Below are 23193 nucleotides of genomic sequence, written 5' to 3' on the forward strand. Positions count from 1 at the left end.
GGTAGGTTATTACGTTGTCGTAACCTGGCTGGCCAGCTGGTGTCACTGTGGCACAGGCAATGAAATTACAATTTTTTTTTTTTGTTCTTGTTTGTGTTTCTCATTGCAGATATTTGATTTTTCATTTTACTTCCTTTCTTAGTCTGTCCTAAGAGAGGCCCTGGTTAGCTTTACACTCAATATTCACATCTATGTAGAGATGATTTTGTCCTAGCAATCCCTTTGCCAGCAGTTTAGTCATTGCCTCGTATGTTAATGTTTTTAGGTTTGTTCTTTTTTTTTTTTTTTTTTTTTTTTGAGACAGAGTCTCACTCTGTCGCCCCCAGGCCGGAGTGCAATGGTGTGATCTCGGCTCACTGCAACCTCCGCCTCCCAGGTTCAAGCTGTTCTCCTGCCTCAGCCTCCCAAGTAGCTGGGACCACAGTCATGTGCCACCACGCCCGGCTAATTTTTGTATTTTCAGTGGTGACAGGGTTTCGCCATGTTGGCCAGGCTGGTCTTGAACTCTTGACCTCAGGTGATCCTCCTGCCCTGGTCCCCCAAAGTGCTGGGATTACAGGCATGAGCCACTGCACCCGGTGTCTTCTTTTTATTAAGATGGGGCAGCAACAGCCAGATGTGGAGAGGATAATCATCTTAGTATTATCTCAGTTTTTTACAGCAAAAATATTTCTGCTTCTAAATAAATGCATTTTATTTAGAAAATAAAAATAAAATTATTATTTTAAGAATTATTCTTTAAAATTATTCTTTTAAAAATTATTCTTTTAAAAAAGAGTATTACAATTTAATCTAAATAATTCAAATTACTCTGATTTGTAAACTGTGTGTAGTATTTGTAATGGATGCTGTTATAGTGCTGGTCAAAATTAATTAGAAATTTGCAACTCATACCATGAGTTTAAGAGCAGAAGCAAATCATACTAACTCCACATGGTTGAAACTTCTTGTGAATTAATTTATAGTTGGTAGATTTAAAGACATTGCCTCCTTAGACCTAGCTAAAATGGAATTTTTCCCGTGGAAGGCCCAAAACAAAAATCCACTAATGTAGGGTGTTTTTACCTATGAACACTTTCTCTAGCAAAATGTCCATACACAAACCTACCAAATTTTGCATTCAGATTTAGTGAGCTTAGGACCCCCTGAACCCTGCATAAGGGTTCTCAGGTTCCCTGAGTCTTAAGAACCCCCCACCTGTAAGTTTTAAGTGATATCACAGAGTATTCGTTCAGTAGAACTACCTTAGAGATCTCGGAGTCTCACTATGTTATTTTATAGTGGAGAAAAAAGGCCCTTGAAGTTGTTATGGAATTACCCAGTATTAATTAAATAGCTGTACCAAAAGCTTATGTGATTTGACTATAACTGCAGTGAGTGCAAGAGCGCTCTCTTTCATTACCTTATTTCCAGGGTTTGGTAACAGTTTTTGGCACTTACTACCAAAGAGGGCCTTTCAATAAATGGTGAATAAATGAATGTTTATTCACGTAAGAACGAGGACGAGGACTAGAAACCAGATTTTTAGACTTCTCTGAAAAACCAGGGAAGAGATATTGTAATCTTATATTTGATACATCTTGTGTCCTTAATTTCCCTGCATGTGGTATTTGGGTTTGTGAGTGTGAGTCTTTGTTGTTATAGTTTTATTTTTAATGATTTTGTTGAGCTAAGTCGTTTCTTCATTCCCTTGTACTTAGCAGTCTGCAATATCATACACTACGATCTGCAGAAGATTTGGGAAAGAAATACAAGAAATTGTTGGAACACTGTTCCTCCAACTCCTACCCCCACCAGTCACATGTTGTAACTTATTTATCTCCTTTTCCCAAGAGATTGGAATCACTGTTAGGTCAGAGATAGTGTGTATACACAGCACAAGTTTTGGTTCATAGTAGTTGCTCAATAAAAGAATGAATTCTAGTAAATAGACTTAAAAGTTGACATCTTTTCTCCTTCAGCCATCCTACCCTAGGGTTTTCATAGCATGTGATTACAGTTTGTCTCCATTCTATATAGGAATGCAATATAATGTTTCCACGTTACTCACACATAAAAAATGTAGTAGCTCGGTCAATGGCAATAATGATTTGATGGGGGCTTTTTCAGAGAGCCAGTTTTGACCAAATATGTATGTTGATCCCTTTTAGAGGTATGGCAAATGGTTTTCAAGGATTGTTTAACCCATACAAATCTAGATTCATTTTAATACTGTTTGCTTTTCAGCTATAGGCTATACTTTTAATACTATTACTACAAATTAAAATTTTAAGTATATTTTTAATATACACATACATTAAATTAATTCTGGATTGAGAGTCCTGTTGAAAATACAATTCATAATGAAAGGTTGAAGGCTTATCTGTCTTAATTATAATCTGAGAGTGTGCCCTTATTTATAAACAAAAGCTATTAGTAATATGTTTTTTTTTATTTCTTGGAGGAATTTTGTTGAAAATACAATTCATAATGAAAGGTTGAAGGCTTATCTGTCTTAAATTATAATCTGAGAGTGTGTCGTTATTTATAAACAAAAGCTATTAGGAATATGTCGTTTTTAAATTTTTTGAAGGAATTATTTTGAATGTAGATACATATAAATATTTCCACAGTGATAGTATGTGAATGAATTCAGTATTTCTTTGATGCAAGTTGGTACATGATTCAAGCTTTTGAACTACTTAGAATCTAGACTAAGTGGGTGAGGCCAAGAGGGTAGGCAGTGAACCACCAAAAGGTACTTGTAAGTTCTTGTTAAATATTGTTGAATGAATGGGAGAGAGGGAGAAAAGAAGATTGAAATTGTGTGTCTGTGGCAGGCAGGTGTGTGTGTGTATGGTGGTAAATGGAAAAAAATCAATAAAAATGTTAGATTTACTCTCTTGATTAGATGGAATAAGATACAGGAGGATATTGTGATCATAAAGTGAGTTATTAAACTTATTTAAAGTGAGAATCTAGAAGTGTTGCTTCCGAAGTGATGACAAGGTCTAAGAGTGGCAATTTGAGTTTAGGTTGCCTGAGTGGAATATGGGGTATGAAAGATGAAAGGCATTAGAAATGAAGATGTTAATGAAATCTGAGACTAAGGTGTAGATTGGGTTATACTAAGTCTAAAATGTCTTTTATCTGCCCTGACACTTTTTTGGCATGTTGTCCAACTACAGATTCCCAAACCTGATCCAGATTACCAATTTTACGCATTTCTGCAAGTATACGGAGGGAAAATAAAATCACATACCTTTACATATCATTATTACTATCCCCTGTCATTCTGCATCAGCATAGGTAGGCAGGCTCATGGAACAGATTTTAAGTGTTTTACAATTTATATTTTAAAATATAGCAACTTACTACCTACCATAACATTAGTGGACTGTATTTTTAATGATCGGTGAAAACTTTCAGCCTAGACAGCGAATATATCAGCTTGGAAGGAATTGCTAACTGAACATCTATAATCATTTCCTGAAAATGTGCCCACCAACATGCAAAAGGTTAGAAACACCCAGTTTAATGGTGAGAGTTAGGGATAAAGCAGAAGCCCTAGATGTGCCAAAGTCTTCAATAAATATTTGAAATTGACTGGAAAGAAGGTAGATGACAATGTTGAGGTGGGGACGAGGGCAGTGAGGAAGGTGACACACAGGAAACGGGGGGGTTGGGTAGGGGCAGAGTTGCACAAGAATGGAAAGCAGTTCTCTACAACAGTTCCTCAAAATAGACTAAGGATCGCCTGCATCAGAATCACCTGATTTCCTTGTTTTGAAATTCGGATTTCTGGGCTTCACATTCCAACTCAGTGAGAATCACCACACAGCTAAGAGCAATCTGCATTTTTAACAGGATCCTCAGGTGATTCCTACTGAAATTAAGGTTTGAGAACTGGTTGTTTAGAAGTACCAATAGAGAGTTTAGAAAATGCTGACCCTGCCTTCTAACAATAGAATATTGATAAGTAGAATGTTGGAAGATAATCAGTTTTATAAAACTCAAGATAATTGTGGAGAAGCAGAGAGGCCACTTAAGGGGGGTTAATAGTGTTACAGAACTGGGGATGTGGAGGCTGTTGTAATAATAGCTTTGCTTCTGGCAGATACTTTTTATAGACAGCTAACTGTTAAACTAACAAAGGAGATTTTAAATTAACAGAATTCATCAAACATTTAACATAAGTGTTTTAGTTTGTTTCTTTAAAAAATTTATTATGTAGATGCTTTGGAAGGTTTTGTCCCTTTTGAAGCATGAGATGTTACTGAGAAAATTTCTTGCCAAATGAAGTAATAGACACTCTGCTAGATGTCAAGAATACAAGTGGTGAACAAGATAGATAAGCTTCCTGATCTTAGCATATGGTCTTCGGAATGGGAAGAGAGGATATAGACAAATTAATTTTAATACCATGTGAAAAATGTTGTGCTAGGCCAAGTATAGCATGGTCTGAGTACTGGTGGGAGCATGGAAAGATTACCTGAGTGATTACTATATAAGCTGAGGTCTGAAGGATGACCTAGCCAGATAAAGGGTGAAAAATATTCTCATCAGAAGCAACTGTAACAACCCGAAGGAAGTGTGAGACCATAGAACTGGAAATTCATGTTGTTGGAATGGAGAATGTGAGGGCAGGTGTGTGAGAAATGAGGCTAGAGAGATAAGTAGATAGTAGATCCTGCAAAACCTTGAAAACCATATTGAAGAGTTTAGTCTTTACCTAAAAGGCAATGGAGAGCCACTAAATGCTATAAAAATGGGAGTGTCTCAGTTGGGTTCACATTTTAGAAAACTGTCTCTGTCTAGTTTGAAGAATTGATTGCGGGACTGACAGTACTAGAGACATGGGAAACAAGTTCAGTCATCAAGGGCAAAAGAGGAGTGAGACTTAGGACATTCTCAAGGATATATATTTTAAAACAAATTTACTGAACATTTTGTGTTCTTCATGTGTTGGTTTTACACTACAGTTCAAAAGTATTACCATGCTAAATTTTAAGTTCTAAACTTATGTTTTTAATGTCATAATTATAGTAACCTCTATTAAAATATGCAAAATGGAGACGTTATTTTTCACAGCTTTATGAAAGCTATTACTACAAATATTACTTTGTATTCTTTTAAAAGTACCTAAAATGTACAAAAATGTATTTGGAGCTTTTGCCAAAAGCATATTTTGTTTTAGCTTAATTGTTTGAAAAATATTTTTAAAAACTATTAAATACTCAAGCATTATGCTAAAAGCTTGAATAAAAGGTTAACTCAGGTTTATCCCATTTTATTATACACTTGTTAAGCTTGGCCTTGCAAAGTGTTAAACTTTGAATTGAATGTCAGCAACATAAAAATGCAAATTAGGAATTTTATGTTGTTAATTATAAATGGGTCCATTGTCTCTGAAATATAGTCTGGAAAATATAGGAGTAAATTCAGTAGCAGATACTTTATAAGTTGCTAAGCTAGGCACAGACTTATATAACTGATACACTTAAAAAATTTAAGGGTTGGCCAGGCGCGGTGGCTCATGCCCGTAATCCTAGCACTTTGGGAGGCTGAGGCGGGCGGATTGTCAGAGCTCAGGAGTTCGAGACCAGCCTGGGCAACACGGTGAAACCCTGTCTCTACTAAAATACAAAAGAAATTAGCCAGGTGTGGCAGCGTGTGCCTATATTCCCAGCTACTCAGGAGGCTGAGGCAGGAGAATTGCTTGAACCTGGGAGGCGGAGGTTGCAGTGAGCCAAGATCACGCCATTGCACTACAGCCAGGTGACAGAGCGAGACTCCGTCTCAAAAAAAAAAAAAAATTTCGGGTTATGTAAAGAAAGCACATTTAAAATTTTGGTGAACTGTGAGGCTATATAATATTACTTAGAGAATGAGTATTTTATTGAAAACAACAAACTCATAAAATCCCTAGTATTATCTCACAAGTCATAAATTCGTCTCACATAGCCCCTATTATTTTGTGTTTCATTTAGCTGCCAAACCACATCAGAATGATAGTTCTCTTCAGAATTGGAATTCAACCTATTTGTATCATTTTTGGTTAGGCTCCTTCTGTTAGTAGCAGCTTAGGCATAGGAAGGCCTTAGTGATTTTCAGATTTTACACCTGTTTTACCTATAGGACAGTAGAGTTTTCTTCTGGAAGAACTTTTGTTTGTTTAGTAAAGAACCCCAGCAGACAGTAGGGAGGGATTTGAGTGACTGTAATGTCCTCAGCTACAGTTGTCTCCATTTGCATTTAAGATTTTTATTGATATGTTTTGTTGTTCTCATATTGTTAATTGGTTTTTGGTTATTTTGTATAATCTTTGTTCCTTTCTTTTTGCCTGATTGTTTCTCATTATGGTTTGGTGGTTTTCTGTATTGGTGCCGTTTGAGTCTTTTCTCTTTGTCATTTATGTGTTTGCTTTACCTGTGAGTTTTGTATGTTCATGTGTTTTGATGATGGTAAATGTTGCCCTTTTGCTTCCAGGTTTAGCGCTCCGTTGAGCATTTATTGTAGTGCCTGTCTACTGGTGATGAATTACCTCAGCTTTTGCTTATCTGGGAAAGACTTTATTTCTCCTTCTGGTAATTTTGTTGGATATAGTATCCTTGGCTGGACAGTTTTTTTCTTTCTATACTTCAAATATGTCATACCATTTTCTCCTGGCTTCTGTCTCCTGAGAAATCCACTGATAGTCTTATGGGGGTTCCTTTATAGGTGATTAGACACTTTTCTTGCTGTTTTTAGAATTCTCTATTGTTGACTTTAGACTTTTTGACTATAATGTGCCATAGAGAAGATCTTTTTGTATTGTATCAGTTTGGTGATCTGAGAGCCTCCTGTATCTGGATGCCTAAATCTCTTGCTAGACTTGGACAGTTTTCATTTATTGTTATATTAAATAGGTTTTCTAACACTTTCATTCTCTCTTCACCCTCTGGGACCCCGATAATATGAATATTTGGTCACTTTATGTTGTCTCATGTCATGAATACTTTCCTCATTCTTTTTTATTCTTTATTTTTTTCTGATTGGGTTCTTTCAAAAGACCTGTCTTCAAGTTCTGAGATTCTTTTTTTTTTTTTTTTTTTTTTTGAGACTGAGTCTCACTCTATCACCCAGGCTGGAGTGCAGTGGGGCACGATCTTGGCTCACTGAAACCTCCACCTCCCGAGTTCAAGCAATTCTCCTGCCTCAACCTCCTGTGCAGCTGGGATTACAGGCACGTGCCACCACACCCAGCTAATTTTTGTATTTTTAGTAGAGGCGGGGTTTCACCATGTTGGCCAGGCTCGTCTCAAACTCCTGACCTCAGGTGATCCACCTGCCTCAGCCTCTCAAAGTGCTGGCATTACAGGCATAAGCCACCGCACTCAGCCAAGTTCTGAGATTCTTTCTTCTGCATGAGCTAGTCTATTATTGAAGTTTTTGAATGTATTTTGTATTTCAAGCAATGAATTCTTCAATTCCAGAATTTCCGTTTGGTTCTTTTTTTATGATCTTTATCTCTTTGGTAAATTTCTCATTCATATCCTGAATTGTTTTTCTGATTTCTCTCTATTGTTTTTCAGAATTCTCTTGTATCTTCATCTTGAGAATCAGTAGTTTGAATTCTTTTTCCAAGGTTTCCTGAATTTCTTTTTGGTTGGGATCTGTTGCTGGAGAATCATTGTGATCCTTTGGAGGTATTATATTTCCTTGCTTGTTCATGTTTTTTGTGTCTTTACATTGATATCTGGTGTAATCGTTTCTCCATTAGTTTGAATTTGCTATTGTAGGGGAGGACTTTTTCCTGAAGTTGTATCTATGCTATTGGGTGAGTAGGCTACTTTGACTTTGATTCTTGTGCAAGCAGTAGTGTACTCTCTGTATAATTTCTTTGGCTGTATACAGCATTAGTGGTATCTGTGATTTTCCTCAGTGGATTAAGTGTACAGTTATTAGTGGAAGCTGTGGTGAAGTTTTGCTTTAGATGTCAGATAGGTCACTCTTTGGGCCCCAGTTGTAGCAGTGGTGGGCTGAGCATGCCTGTCCTTTGGCCCCAGGGTGGTATATGCCGGCACCAGTGTTAATGGGTCCAGGCGAGTGGATTTTTGGGCCTCCAGATGGCTTACTTGGATGCCAGTAGTGGCGGCAGTGGGCCAGGCAGGTGGGCAGGTTCTTGGACCTCTAGGCAGCTAGCATAGCATGGGCAATGGCAGTGGCAGTAGCAGACGACCCTTTGGGTCCTGAGTAGTGTGCATGGGTATTGGCAGTGGCTGTGATGGGCTGGGCGGACCAGTCTCCAGGTCCTCAGGGAGTGCATGCAACTAGGTGCCAGCTGAGGTGGTAGCAGCTGAGTGGGTAGTCCAACCTCAGGTCCTCTGGAAGAGTGTTCAGGTGCCAGTGGTAGTGGACTGGGCTGGGCAATGCTGTGGCCCCCAGACTATGTGTTCTGGCACAGCTGCGGGGGGTGGGGAAGCCAGGTTGGGTAGGCATGTCCTCAGGCCCCCCATGGTGTGTACAGGTGTGCTAGCTGTGGTGGGGAGGGGTGGGGTGCAGAATGCGTGAGTAGGAGGTGGCAACAGCTGTGCTTCTGCACTTCCACTGGAGAGGGTGGTGCTGCCTTTAGTGACTGGCGGCAGCCTAGGCTGGTGGATAGAGAACATCTATGCCCCTTAGATCTCGGCCCCTGCAGTGCTTGTGCCTCAGCCCTGGATACAGTAGTCTGCTATCACTTGCACCTAAGTCCTAGGGCCTGCAGCCCATGCTTCTCTTGTTTTTCAGGACAGTGTGAGATCTGTTGGGAGCAGAGCTCTGAAATGGCACCTTGCCGTATCTGCTTAGATCTCAGGGAGCATGTGGGACCCAGAGTGAGCTTCCTTTCTGGGGCAGTGCCATCACACAATCTCCTGGCAGCTCCCTGCATTTGTTTCAGGGCCCATGAGGGTCCAGGGGCTCTCCTGTAGCTAGGATTGCAAGAGTCCACAGTGGGAATGTAGACTTCTTAGGGTCTGTCATTTACCTCTTTCCCATATTGGGAAGTCTCCCTTTGCCTCCCAGCTGATCCTGGCAGAGCAGGTTGCCTTGCTTCCTTCTCCTTCCTTGCTTTAGATATTTCCTGTCACTTTTCTGTTGGATTCCAGTGGTCTCTCTTGGATGATGTATTCGAGGTGTGATATCTACTCTTTTGGTTCTTCTTAATGGAGGAAGGGAGTGCGAAATGCCTCTAATCAGCCATCTTGAAGCCCCTCTCTTAAGTTTTCTTTTCTAAGAGGCCATAGGTGACAAGATGAAAGGTATCTCTATAACTGCTTGAAAAGTTAGGTAATCAGAATTATCTATCATATGTACTATTTAATAACACATTACTTAGCTCCCCTCCTCTCAGATAGTACTGCTATTATATCTCTTTTCCAGAAATTTACACAATATTCTATGACAGGAGAATGATTCAGATGAGTGTTGTTCTTTCTGATAAAGTTCCAAGGATACATCTAACATAACCATTCTGGACCTACACAGTCAGCTGTCTTTATCCCAGCTTCTGTATCCCAGGGTCCACATCCACAGATTCAACCAACTGCACTGAAAATGTTTGGGGAAAATGAAATAAAATGAAAAATAACAATACAATTAAAAATAATACAGATTTAAAAACAATATAGTATAACAACTATTTACATGACATTTACATTGTATTTGGTATTTTAAGTAATCTAGAGATTAAAGTATACGGGGAGGATGTGTATAGAGTATAGGCAAATATTAGGCATTTTATATAAGGGACTTGAGCATCCGCATGTATTTTGGTATCCAAGGGATCCTGGAACCAAACTTCCAAAGGACAATCCTGTGCCATTTGTATGTTGTTTGTGTTCAGATGTTAGGGTTTTCTTACATTTTTTGTATTTTGAGGGGTGTTTTGGTACTTTTTTCCTTAAGGAAAGCTGTTATACTCACTAAAACATAAGCCACTGAAAAGCTGTCAAGACTTAAGCAAGGCAACATTCAAGGAAGCCATTCCAAAAATAGTTGACCTAATGACCAAACTTGCAAAGTTTACAAATTATTTCAGTGATTTGACAGCATTTTATTTTGTCTTTCAGAGAGGGAAGATTCTAGTAATATAAATATGAATGAAAGGAATGCTAATATTTAAAACTGGAAACCATTGATTTTAGATATTGAAAACTAACTGGGAAAGTTAAAGGTCACTTATTCAGTGAAATGAACAGACTTGGAGACTCGGTTTAAAAATAGGAAGTAAATAAAAATTGAGTGTAAGGAATGTTTTCTTTTTGACTCTCTAAGTGTTCTTTAAAACAATATGTAGTTGAAGGGCGTTGTCCTGTGACAAGAGGTTTTAAGTGATATTAGGAAATGAGTGAATGGGATAAAGGCAGTTCATCTGTTTTGTACCAGTAGGAAATTACAGTTTGAGAACATATTTCTATTAGTGCGCTTAAACCGAAGCAGGTTCTGAAATAATGTTTTTTTAAAGCTATTTATTTAAATAAATCTTTTAGAAAACATACTAACTAAAATAAATTCTAAGTCTCCAATAAATTGCCTATGGCTGCTTACATTTATCATACATTACAGTTAATATCGTTTCTGGAGGCTTAGTCCTAACCATATTGCTAGTTAATATCAAAATGACACACTTCTGTGTCCCAGTTTTCTCATCTGTAAAATGGGAGTGAAAGCACTTCAAGTGTTTGTCAAGATTAAATGAGGTAATATATACACAGTTCTTGCTTTGTATAGTTCCAATATACATTAATTTCAGTTAGCACAGTTTAGTTAAATAACACCAGTCCCTCAGCAACCCAGCTTATTACTCTCTCACTTTGTTCAGGACTCTGTTCACAATTTATCTCATCAGAGAGACCTTCCCCAAATACTGCATCTGAAGTGGCAACCTTTATCTGTCACTCTCTATCCCTCTTATCCTGCCTTTAAAAACAAAAACTTATTTACTTGTTTATTACTTAATTACAGGACTTGTTACCACCTATGTTTGTTTACTATCAATCTCCTCCCTTCCTATGTCCCCACCCCCCAGAACATCAGTCTATGTGGGCAGGGACTTTATCTGTTTTTCTTTCACTGCCGTGTCAGTAGTGACTAGAGCAGTGGCTGTCATGAAGTTGGTGGTCATTAGATGTTGATTCAATACATAAGTAAATAAATAAGCCACCCCTGTTGGGTCACACCTGCAATTCCGCCACTTTGGGAGGCTGAGACGGGCGAATCACTTGAGTTCATGAGTTTGAGACCAGCTGGGGCAACATGGCGAAACTCCATCTCTACTAAAAATACAAAAATTAGCTGGGCGTGGTGGTGCATGTCTGTAATCCCAGCTACTCGGGAGGCTGAGGTGGGTGGATGGCTCGAGCCCAGGGGGTGGAGGTTACAGTGGGCCCAGATCACACCACTGCACTCCAGCCTGGGTGATAGAGCCAGACCTTATCTCAAAAAAGTAAAATAAAATAAGTAAATAAATAATTTATGTTCCATAGCTCAGGCAGTACTTCCTTCCTTCCTATTTTGTTTTTTATGGACTTAGTCTATTCTGAATTCTTCTGATACTTAGTGTTTTTACTTTGGCACCATGTTCAATTTTTATGTTAATGTCTATCTTGTCTCCAATGAGATGGCAAGGAGTGTACCTTATCTCTTTCTCTGACCAAAAAGTCTAATGTAAGAATAAGCAAATATACATTAAATTATATTTCAAAATAAACCCGTTATTATTGCAGCTTCTTAATCTACATGGCATTGAATCATAAATCCTTTAGTTCATTCAACAAATTCATTATTTATCTATTCAAATATTTATTTGATCCCCCTATATCTCAGGTACTATTTCAGGTGCTGGGTATATAGCAGTAAACAAAATAGGCAACAACCCTGCTGTCATGATGTATAGTATAGTGAGGGGACACAAAAATAAACAAATATACACATAATATATCACTTAGTGGTCATTGCTATGAGAAAAATAGAACAAGGTAAGGGGAATAGGGATTTCTTTTGTGGGGGTTGGAGGGGATTGCTATGTTGTATGTTATCTTTAAAGGAGCAAGCGCTGTAAATCTCTGATCCAAACCTCATATCCAAACCAGATGGTAAAAAGACTTTTAGTAGGAAATCTAACGTTTTGAGAGACCCATTTGAGACCCAAGACCAATATTTTTCTTTTCCTTTATAAGAGACATACTAGTTTATCTCTCTTTTTTGTTTTTTGTTTTTGTTTTTGTTTGAGGCAGGATCTGGCTCTGCTGCCCAGTCTACAGGGCAGTCGCACCAATTGGCTCACTGCAGCCTCCGTCGCCTGGGCTCAAGCCATCCTTCCACCTCACCCTTCCAAGTAGCTAGGACTATAGGCTCATGCCACCATGCCCAGCTGAATTTTTGTATTTTTTTAGAGTTGGGGTTTTGCCATGTTGCCTAGGCTAGTCTCAAATTCCCGAGCTCAAGCGATCCTCTTGTCTCAACCTCCCAAAGTGCTGGGATTACAGGTGTGAGCCATCACATCATGCCTGACCAGTTTATCTCTTTGAAAGAAAGAGTTTGATTTGGATTTTATGTACAGTAGGTAACCAATCATGTCTTGAGGTCTAGAATTCCTCAGATGCCTCATTTATTGAATATAGAGTGATGTTCTTCAGAATACCCAAGCTTGTAGTCTTTTGAGGATTTTCACAAGTGTTCCAATGACTGTTTCAAAGACCAGTTTATCTTTCAAATTCTCTTTAGCAGCCTTTCTTTGTTTATGAAAACATTCCTATCCCTACTGAAGGTACTTATTTTTAATGATCTTCCAGCTGGGCTTTTCTTGCATTTTTTGGTTTGTACTCTGTATATTCCTTACTTTTTGTATCAAACTCATCACCTTCCCTTTAAAGCATGTCTTTTTTCCCACAGTTTTTGGTCTCTTACTCAGAAACTCTATTTCTACTAAAGGTGTCGTTTTATAAATTTTAAAACAGATCTCTCCGACTTGTAAATTCTATCTAGTTGCCCTGTTTAAAGTCACTGGATATCAGAAGTTAATTATATGGTTAGTTTCCCATCTAGGCATGCTCTAATATAATTAAGATGGGGTTGTAAGTATAATAAGGGTGGAAATACTTATAATTTCATGACTTTGTCACTCAAAAAATAAAAATCACTCATCCTAAGTAATATGAAAATACATTCTTAGATATAATGGTCAGTTTTACATATAAGAAAATAATCTTTCATCATTCCAACTTCTAGTCTCCAGAAGAGTTCTATTTAAAAATTGGGATGAAGGAGAAAGACATTAATACTTGAAGTACCAGATGTTGTAGTGTACTTTTTGTATGTTGTCTATGAAGTAAGAATAATTATCCCTTAACATTATCATGTTACAGTGAAGAATCTCAGCAATTCAGACTATTTGCCTGGGGTTATGCAGCCATTAAGTGACTGAAGCCAGGATTCAAACTCAGGTATATCTGAGCTGACTTCAGAGCCCACATTGCATCCATTATATCAAACTGCCTCATCAAATGATTGCTAGGTATTATTTTTTTGAAATAATGGATGCATTTGAAATCAGAGCCAGTTCTCAGACATTTTCACTGATGTCCAAAGTGCTAAACAATTTTGTTTGCCTTCTGAAACTCCACCCTGTATCTCTCAGTCCAAAAAGCATACTAAAATGCAACAAAAGAGTCACAGAGATTACCTTGAACCTACCGTAATATAAATACTTTACACACTGAAGTTGATAAGTGTTTTGCTTTCAACTACTATTAGTAACAAATCACTTTACACACATCTCACTGCCAGTGTGATGAAATCCCAGGTTTGAGAACTACAGGATAAAGGAGCCATTCCCAGACACAATCCCCTCCGTTTAATTTATTTCCAATAATAAATTAGTCACTAACTGGACAGATATTTGTTTAGCTAGAAAAAGGAAACCAAGCTGCAAAATTGGAGATTTAAGATTGAATGGATAAAACTAAAATGGCTAAAACTAAGCAAAGATACTTATGACAGGGTAGATTTTTAGATTTCATAGACAGCCTACAAATGTTGTTAATAGACAGTAGAAGGTAAGTATATGGGTGTTTGCTTTTCCATTCTTAGGTGTTAGGATCTGGAGGGAATTTTAAAAACTATTTTTAATTTAATTGAACCAAATTGGCTTTTTTATACTTCAGTTTTTAAAATGCTTTAGTAAAAATATCTAAGAATAGTTTTAAGCAATGTAAAACTTGACCTTTCAGAATGGAAATTATATTAAATCCTGTGTACTTAATTTAAAATCACAGATTCTAATAAATGTTCATGGTTAACTAAAGAAGTTTAGTGATAGAGATTCAGCATGCTCTGGGCCTGGGTACCTAATCGTAATATAGTCCCAGAGAGTCCTCCAAAGATGATGCAAAGTAGAGAAAAGCATGACTCCATGGCCTAGCACCTAGAAGATTCTATTCATCTTTAGGAACTGTTTTGTTTCTATTCTTTATAGCCACCTATTTTCATTTGCAGCATATACCTTTTCTCAGAAGTATAGAGATGATGAACCAAGTTATCCTTACTGTATTTCTATGACGTTGTATAAGTTAGTAAGTTCCTCATTGAAAACAGTGAAAAACTTAAGGAAAAAAAGGTAATTAAGGGTTGCTTATACATTGGTCAAGAAAAACATCAAGTACATTTAAGGAGTACATTTAGAACATTAGAATCCAGATGGAAACTTCTTCAGCAAACATTCCAAAATAGGGTGTTTTCAAGTTATATTATACAACATGTCACTTAACTTGTCCTACAATATTTTTACTTCAGTAGCAGAGTAGATATAATTGTTTAAGATTAAATCTTCTTGGCTAGTGATTTAATAATCCCTTTGCATTTTGGTTCATGATTATGGAAATTAACTTCTGAAAGGGCTTCTTATTTCAGTAGTATATATTATCTTAGCTATACCACTTCATTGTTATATTTAATGTATGGCTATACCTTGAATTTTCATTAAAAGTTTGTATTTTAATTACTCTTAATTATTCTAAATTTCATCCCTTCTGTCTGTTCTTTTGGTCACCTCTCCATCCTAAACTTTAGCTGTTGAATACTTGAGATACGGTGGTATCTTATGATTAATCTTGCCTCAGTTTCTAACTCTTCCAAGCTGTTCTTACATGTCTACCAAATTAATATTCTTTAAGCAATGCTTTAACCAAATCAAGTAAACCCGTTACTCAAAATTTTCTAATTCATTTACCGCTATCTCTCAACATAGACCTTTAGCGACGTTGGCCATGGTAGCCTAGTTGCTGGCCTCCATGCTATCCCAATAATATGATAATGACTGCCCAGTGCTACCCACCCTCTTCCCTGAAAGTTTTTCTACTAGGTTGAAGATGAACCCTTCCTAACCCTATTCCATCCCTCCAGCGTTCCATATCATCCATGTTGGTCACTGATGCAGCTTAGAATCCATCTCTTCCATTAAGACTTTTTCTTCTATTGAATGCACACTGATCATTTCCTCTTCTGAATTCTTAACTACATTATAAATTGTTGTATACTTTCCTCTTTGATTGCATATTGCCTTCACCTGATTAAGATGTGTATGTTTTGTCCTAGGTTTAAAAAAAAAAAAAGGATAACTATCTTTGGAGAAATATCCTGGACCCCTGCTATAGGCTCTATACTTGTACCAGTACATCAAGAAAAGGTGTAATGGTTTAGAAAAAATATATAACAGTAGTTATATATATTTATGATCTAAAATCTGCTATCTTAAACTACGATCAGTCTAAAAATTTAGCTTACTAGCTGTGTTTACTTTTAACTTGTCATAGCCCTGAAATTCCCATGAAAATTTAATAAAGGTAAATAGAAAAGTGATTTTATTGTAGATTTAATGCCTTCATTTCAGTTTGATTTCTCTGAAGTTCTAGTCATGTGGATAGGCCAGATTTAAGTCTACATTATTCATAATTGTTGCATCACTTGAAGCCAGCAGACTGTAGCCTCAGCTTTACTTCTTGGTGATTTTACAGTTTTACTTGGCCTTTTTGCCTAATCATTACTTAAGCCCTGAGATTTAATTTACAAAGTTCTGGGAAAAAAAACTTAGAATATACTTAACTAGGATTGTGCCTTTTAAAGAACATTGTGCTTCTTGACTTTTTATACTTTTTAAGCTCTTAAGACCCAGTGTTGAATATTATTTTTATTATAATAAGGTTCTGTTATAGGCTAATTTGCAGTTAGGTTAACTATTATCATTGTGCAATGTAAATCTAAGTAATTTTTGCTTACCTCACCCTGATTGAAGTCAGAGAAGCCCTCTTGAAATGGAAGGGAAATTAACATGGCAAGTGAATGATTTGTTTATACTGTGCATTAGCCAGGCTCATTGTGATTATATTAGGTGTCAGTCAGCTTTTACATATTAGACATGGAAATTGAATGATCTTAATTTTGCTCATTAAAATAATTTTTCTGATGTATCAGTAAGATTAAAATTTTTACATTGAATTTTAATATCTGCCTGCTGCTTAATTCCAGAATGATGAAAGTGTATTGTATGTGATGTACACAATACCACTTAATACAAATCTTGCTGTATTTGCTGCTGATTATACATCATTATAGAATGCCATGATAGCATAAGGGAATACCGCATAGCAGAGAGAAAAATAATCTAAGATTTGATTAAAAGGATACAATTATTCTGAACTGTTACGTCATGTGGGATTTTTTTACAAAGTTTTTTCTTTTATTTAAATCTTGCTAAGGATTTGAAGCATTCATTACCATCTGGACTTGGTCTCTCAGAAACCCAAATTACATCTCATGGCTTTGACAATACCAAAGAGGGTGTTATTGAAGCAGGAGCATTTCAAGGTAAGAGCCCATATATTTGTAAAGATGGCTGGGATAGAGGATGGGAGAAGTTCACCAAATGCTACCTTTATTAATAAAGCACAAGAATGGAGCCCTTTCATTCTGTGATAAAACATTGATTATAAATGTATTCCTTTTTCTCTTCAATTTAAGTAATAGAATTATTTGAGTAGTCTCCTTTATATAAACAGATCAATGTACATGATATCACTGGTTATTATTTAAGAATAGGTTATAAAATACTGAAATAAAAACAAAAATTATGTCAGAAATGTAGATGTAGATTATTTTAACTTGTAACCATGAAATTTATAAATCAATGTTGATTTTTATAAATACATATTTCTTATTTCAAAGCAAATAGAAAAATGAACTTTTTACGTTATATAGGAGGTCTCCAAGACCACACTCATTAAAAGTTTGTATTTTAATTACTCTTAATTATTCCTAAATTTCCTCCCTTCTCTCCATACTTTTGACCACCTCTCTATCCTAAACTGTAGCTGTTGAATACCTGAGATATAGTGGTATCTTATGATTGATCTTGCCTCAGTTTCTGACTCTTCCAAGCTGTTCTTACATGTCTGCCAAATTAATATTCTTTAAGCATTCTTTTAACCAAATCAGCAATTTGCTAGGAGAATTCACAGGACTTACATAGTGACACTCATGGCTATGATTTATTGTAATGAGAGTAGCAAGCACGATCAGTAAAGGCAAAAAGTGCATAAGCTAAGTCTGAGGAAAACTAGGCATAAGCTTCCAAGAGTCTTCTCCCAGCTTAATCACACAGGAATTGCTTAATTCCTCCAGCAGTGAGACTGACAACATAGGTGAAATTTTGCTAACTAGGGAAGCTCATTTGAAACTCCATGCTTGGGATTTTTACTGGGGGCTGATCACATAGGTTTCTCCATCTGTTACATACCAAGATTCTAGACTTCCAGAAGGAAAGCAGGTAAGCAGCATAAGCCACATTGCAGGTAAACAGCTTAAGCACAGTGAGGCACTCGTAATCATTCTGGCAATGGAGGAAATCCTCCCAAAATTCAAGTTGCCGCATGCCAGCCTTTTTAAGGATAGCAGTTAGACCTGCTGTGTTAACTCTTTTCTGCACACATCTCATATCTATGTCTATTTTTAATAGAAAAATATTGGCTCCTTTCTTAATGCTTTTACTTGTGATAACTTTTTTAAACTTTTTTTTTTTTTTTTTTTTTTTACTCGAGTGAAAGTAAAGCCGTGTAAACATTTAGATGTGGGAAATAGATTTTCTGGACAGTACTGTAAAGTAGTAGCTACAGTTTATGTTCAGTTCAATTAAGCACATATTAATTTTAATGCTGCATTACATTTTACAAAATGAAGAAACAATTATGTCCATGCCTTTGTAAACCATAGCCCTCATGCAGATATTAGTATTCTGTATTTTTTTTTTTTAAAGATGTAGTCTCACTCTGTTGCCCAGGCTGGAGTGCAGTGGCATGATCTTGGCTCACTGCAACCTCTGCCCCCGAGTTCAAGTGATTCTCCTGCCTCGACATCCCAAGTAGTTGGGATTACAGGCGCCTGCCACCATGCCGGGCTAATTTTTATATTTTTAGTAGAGACGGGGTTTCACTATGTTGGCCAGGCTGGTCTCCAACTCCTGAGCTCAGGCAGTCCTCCTGCCTGGGCCTCCCAAAGTGCTGGGATTACAGGCATGAGCCACTGTGCCTGGCCGTATGCTGTATTTTTTATTGTACAGTTGGCCAATACTTTATTTAAAGAACAGTTTAGATTTTGAAGTATATTCTCTGCTATATGGGTCCTGGAAATAGACGTTTAGGATAATCCAGTATAATATCCTCTCCTTTAGGCTGTGAAATGAATGGACTGTCTACTGACATCATTTTTTTCTCTTTTCATACTTATGTTTAGAAAAATAAAGGGAGCAATCACGTCAGTGTCTTAGTAGTCATTCTGAAGCATCATGGCATTCTTATATCAGGGATAATTTTGAATTTGGAAGGGCTGACTGAGTACCTAAAACTAAGAGTGCTGAAAAACGTAAGGCTTACTTTGCATAATTTGGTACCATTTTTTGACTAATCACCAATTCTAAAATTTAAATGTCAACATAGAATAAAAAACTAATTTTACTATTAAGATATTTTAAATATATATATTTTTTAATTGATCATTCTTGGGTGTTTCTCGCAGAGGGGGATTTGGCAGGGTCATAGGACAATAGTGGAGGGAAGGTCAGCAGATAAACAAGTGAACAAAGGTCTCTGGTTTTCCTAGGCAGAGGACCCTGCGGCCTTCCGCAGTGTTTGTGTCCCTGGGTACTTGAGATTAGGGAGTGGTGATGACTCTTAACGAGCATGTTGCCTTCAAGCATCTGTTTAACAAAGCACATCTTGCACCGCCCTTAATCCATTTAACCCTGAGTGGACACAGCACATGTTTCAGAGAGCACAGGGTTGGGGGTAAGGTCATAGATCAACAGGATCCCAAGGCAGAAGAATTTTTCTTAGTACAGAAAAAATGAAATGTCTCCCATGTCTACTTCTTTCTACACAGACACAGCAACCATCCAATTTCTCAATCTTTTCCCCACCTTTCCCCCTTTTCTATTCCACAAAACCGCCATTGTCATCATGGCCCGTTCCCAGTGAGCTGTTGGGTACACCTCCCAGACGGGGTGGTGGCTGGGCAGAGGGGCTCCTCACTTCCCAGTAGGGGCGGCCGGGCAGAGGCGCCCCTCACCTCCCGGACGGGGCAGCTGGCCGGGCGGGGGCTGACCCCCCCACCTCCCTCCCGGACGGGGCGGCTGGCCGCGCGGGGGCTGACCCCCACCTCCCTCCTGGACGGGGCGGCTGGCCGGGCGGGGGCTGACCCCCACCTCTCTCCTGGACGGGGCGGCTGTCCTGGTGGGGGCTGACCCCCACCTCCCTCCCGGACGGGGTGGCTGCCAGGCGGAGACGCTCCTCACTTCCCAGACGGGGTGGCTGCCAGGCGGAGGGGCTCCTCACTTCTCAGAAGGGGCGGCTGCCGGGCGGAGGGTCTCCTCACTTCTCAGACGGGGCTGCTGGGCAGAGACGCTCCTCACCTCCCAGATGGGGTCGCGGCCAGGCAGAGGCGCTCTTCACATCCCAGACGGGGCGGCGGGGCAGAGGCACTCCCCACATCTCAGATGATGGGCGGCCGGGCAGAGACGCTCCTCACTTCCTAGATGGATGGCGGCCGGGAAGAGGCGCTCCTCACTTCCTAGATGGGATGGCGGCCGGGCAGAGACGCTCCTCACTTTCCAGACTGGGCAGCCAGGCAGAGGGGCTCCTCACATCCCAGACGATGGGCAGCCAGGCAGAGACGCTCCTCACTTCCCAGACGGGGTGGCGGCCGGGCAGAGGCTGCAATCTCGGCACTTTGGGAGGCCAAGGCAGGCAGCTGGGAGGTGGAGGTTGTAGCGAGCCGAGATCACGCCACTGCACTCCAGCCTGGGCACTATTGAGCACTGAGCGAACGAGACTCCGTCTGCAATCCCGGCACCTCGGGAGGCTGAGGCTGGCGGATCACTCGCGGTTAGGAGCTGGTGACCAGCCCGGCCAACACAGCGAAACCCCGTCTCCACCAAAAAAACACAAAAACCAGTCAGGCATGGCGGTGCGTGCCTGCAATCGCAGGCACTCAGCAGGCTGAGGCAGGAGAATCAGGCAGGGAGGTTGCAGTGAGCCGAGATGGCAGCAGTATAGTCCAGCTTCTGCTCGGCATCAGAGGGAGACCGTGGAAAGAGAGGGAGAGGGAGACCGTGGGGAGAGGGAGAGAGGTGAGACGGGAGAGGGGAGAGGGGAGAGGGTCTCGAAACAATTACTTGTAAAAGCAATCTTTTAAATATTTTTAATGAAATTATTTAGCTGGCATTTTTCCCCTTAAAGTTATTGTATAATGGTATTATACAATAATTGAAATCAGTTGGCCATCATGAACTGATATACATGAGCATTAAAATGCCCATCAGTTTCACTTGCTTATAGATACATCCTAATCCTTCCAATTGGAATAAGAAAATATATTTCGTGATAATGGCAGTAATATATGTCTCTCTGAACTGAGTTTGTAAAACATTTTAAAATCCAAACTGTATTGTTGATCAGTGTATTAGGAAAATAATCATTCTGCTGCTATACTTAAATTAGTTAAGCATTTGTTGGAAAGTTGTGATTGTTTTAAGATATATGTAGATAAATTGGAATGAACATGAGAAAGAATAACATACAATGGTTACAATCTGGAAAATAGGTCTTATGAAAAAATGTTAAAGGAATTAGGGCTGTGTTAGCTCTCTGGAAAGATGACTAAATGATAAATTATGACTATTGCTTAAACAGTTAACAAGAAGAGTATAACCATCTACTTTTTCATCTATCTAGAGCAAATTAAAAAGTTATACTTAAATTCAGCTTAAAAACAACAAATATTGAAATCGGCCTAGCACCAAAGATGTTGCAGAATCAGTAATAGTGGAAATCATGAATAAATCAAAGCTCACAAGAGTGAAGTGTACTTGGTACCAGGGTTTTGTTTTAATGGGGGTATAAATCTTTGCACATATGTATTCATCTTTCTAGATTTTTGTTGTTGAGATGAAATAGATTTAATTCCCCAAATTTAGCCAGTTAGTAAGATCCTGTATTATTGAGAGATCCTGTATTATTATTTATTTTTTAGTTGGTATTGGTGAATGATTTTGGTAACAGTTGTTTAAAGGGTTAAAGTATTAAAGATACAGAAAAGTGATAATTACCTTTGAAGGTAAATCAAAAAAGCTGAAGTCCCAGTTACAGCCACACTACATCATTTGCTATTTTACTTTGAAAATTTACATATCATTTGTTATATATATTATACACATCCCATGTAGTGCTATGGTTTATTTCTTATGCAAGATTAAGAAACTGTAATAACTAGAACAATAGAGCTCCTATTCCTGGGGTCAAGACATGGAAGTACAGTGGTCTTCTTTTATTTTACACTTTATTTTAGAATCCCTTATGCCTTGGACGGTAGAGATACAGTCTTTGTTTAAAATGGTGATTGAACTGGATAACCTATTAAAATGCCTTCCAACTCAGCAAGTAACTTGTAGATTAGTGATTTCTATATTGAATTTAATAATGGAGATATTATGGTGTTCAGAACATCTGAGTCTCTAATAAGAAACTATTTTAACTTCTCTGGGCTTCATTAATCTTACCGTTTAATGTGACAGTTTAGTTGATTTCCATCATCCCTTCTGGTTTTAAATTTTATAATTTAACAGATTTAAAGAGAAAAATATCTCTCATTTTGAAAGTTAACAACAATCTATTTAGTTTAGGTCTATTGCATGTTTGAATTTTAATGTGAGATCCAGTTCAAGTTAAGGTATATTTTATACTGTTAGAACTCGTGACAGTTTCTATGTCAGAATTTAGTACATCTGGAATATGACCAGTTATTACTAATAGTAAAGAAAGTAGACATGTCTTTCTTATTAGGAAATTTAATTATGTACTTAATGCATGTATTTTTTCCAGAGAACTGGGGAAGAGTGTAATTGAAATAAAAGTACATTATAGACATTAAAATATTCTCAGCTAAACATGGAAGGACTTTAATATTTTTTCAGTTTTAGAAACCTATTACTCCCTTTTTTTGTTTAATGCTAGACATTAGCAACAATGTTGGGTAGTCAGTGTTTCTTTCTTTCTTTCTTTTTTTTTTTAATTGAGACAGAGTCTGGCTTTGTCACTCAGGTTGGAGTGCAGTGGTGCGATCTTGGCTGACTGCGGCCTCCTCCTCCTGGGCTCAAGCAGTCCGTCTACCTCAACCTCTGAGTAGCTGGGACTACAGGCTTGTGCCACCATGCCCAGCAAGATGGTGTTTTGCCATGTTGCCCAGGCTGGTCTTGAACTCCTGAGCTCAAGCAATCCATCTGCCTCTGCCTCCCAAAGTGCTGGGATTATAAGCATGAGCCGCCGCTCTCAGCCAGTAGTTAATGTTTCTTACTTTGTAGCTAATTAAGGCTCAGAGATGTTTAGTAATTTGCCAGGGTGTTCCTGATATCATGTGGTAGATAGAGCCAGAATTTTAAACTCAGTGTTAGAATTTAAAACTTAGTTGTGTTTCATTCAAAAATTGTGTTGTTTCCTCTGGTTCTCAAACTTGGTTGTGTTTGAGAATCATCTTGAGTGGCTTTTGCAAAAGAATAGATGCCTGTTTCACTGATAATCAGTAGATCTTTTTGAGTATCGCAGGTATGTTTTAAAAGCTCCAAAAGTGATTCTTATAATGTCAAAAAATATT

The 23193-nt window shown here is 38.2% G+C and overlaps 1 protein-coding gene across 6 annotated transcripts in view, besides 4 other annotated features; it reads left to right on the forward strand.

The window, feature by feature from the left end:
* The window catches only part of ARFIP1 (ARF interacting protein 1), a 132404-nt gene that overhangs the window by 66898 nt on the left and 42313 nt on the right, over positions 1 to 23193 (forward strand). For all 6 annotated transcript variants that reach the window (NM_001287432.2, NM_001025595.3, NM_001025593.3 and 3 more), the window contains one exon: positions 16755 to 16863. In NM_001287432.2, coding sequence (NP_001274361.1) covers positions 16755 to 16863 — 109 coding nt within the window. The remainder of the gene's footprint in view (positions 1 to 16754; positions 16864 to 23193) is intronic.
* Positions 354 to 854: an enhancer, noted in NCBI's record as "H3K4me1 hESC enhancer chr4:153768357-153768857 (GRCh37/hg19 assembly coordinates)". NCBI's record gives its function as "activates a minimal SCP1, AML or CMV promoter by ChIP-STARR-seq in primed H9 embryonic stem cells {active_cell/tissue: H9 hESC(primed)}" and the evidence as "EXISTENCE:reporter gene assay evidence [ECO:0000049][PMID:30033119]".
* Positions 3566 to 3860: an enhancer, noted in NCBI's record as "tiled region #8200; HepG2 Activating non-DNase unmatched - State 24:Quies, and K562 Activating non-DNase unmatched - State 24:Quies". NCBI's record gives its function as "activates a minimal TATA promoter and a strong SV40 promoter by Sharpr-MPRA in HepG2 and K562 cells {active_cell/tissue: HepG2 | K562}" and the evidence as "EXISTENCE:reporter gene assay evidence [ECO:0000049][PMID:27701403]".
* Positions 3566 to 4405: a biological region, named in NCBI's record as "Sharpr-MPRA regulatory region 8200".
* Positions 3747 to 4405: an enhancer, noted in NCBI's record as "OCT4-NANOG-H3K27ac-H3K4me1 hESC enhancer chr4:153771750-153772408 (GRCh37/hg19 assembly coordinates)". NCBI's record gives its function as "activates a minimal SCP1, AML or CMV promoter by ChIP-STARR-seq in primed H9 embryonic stem cells {active_cell/tissue: H9 hESC(primed)}" and the evidence as "EXISTENCE:reporter gene assay evidence [ECO:0000049][PMID:30033119]".

The sequence above is a fragment of the Homo sapiens genome, chromosome 4, assembly GCF_000001405.40.
Source record: "Homo sapiens chromosome 4, GRCh38.p14 Primary Assembly".
Lineage (NCBI taxonomy): Eukaryota > Metazoa > Chordata > Mammalia > Primates > Hominidae > Homo > Homo sapiens.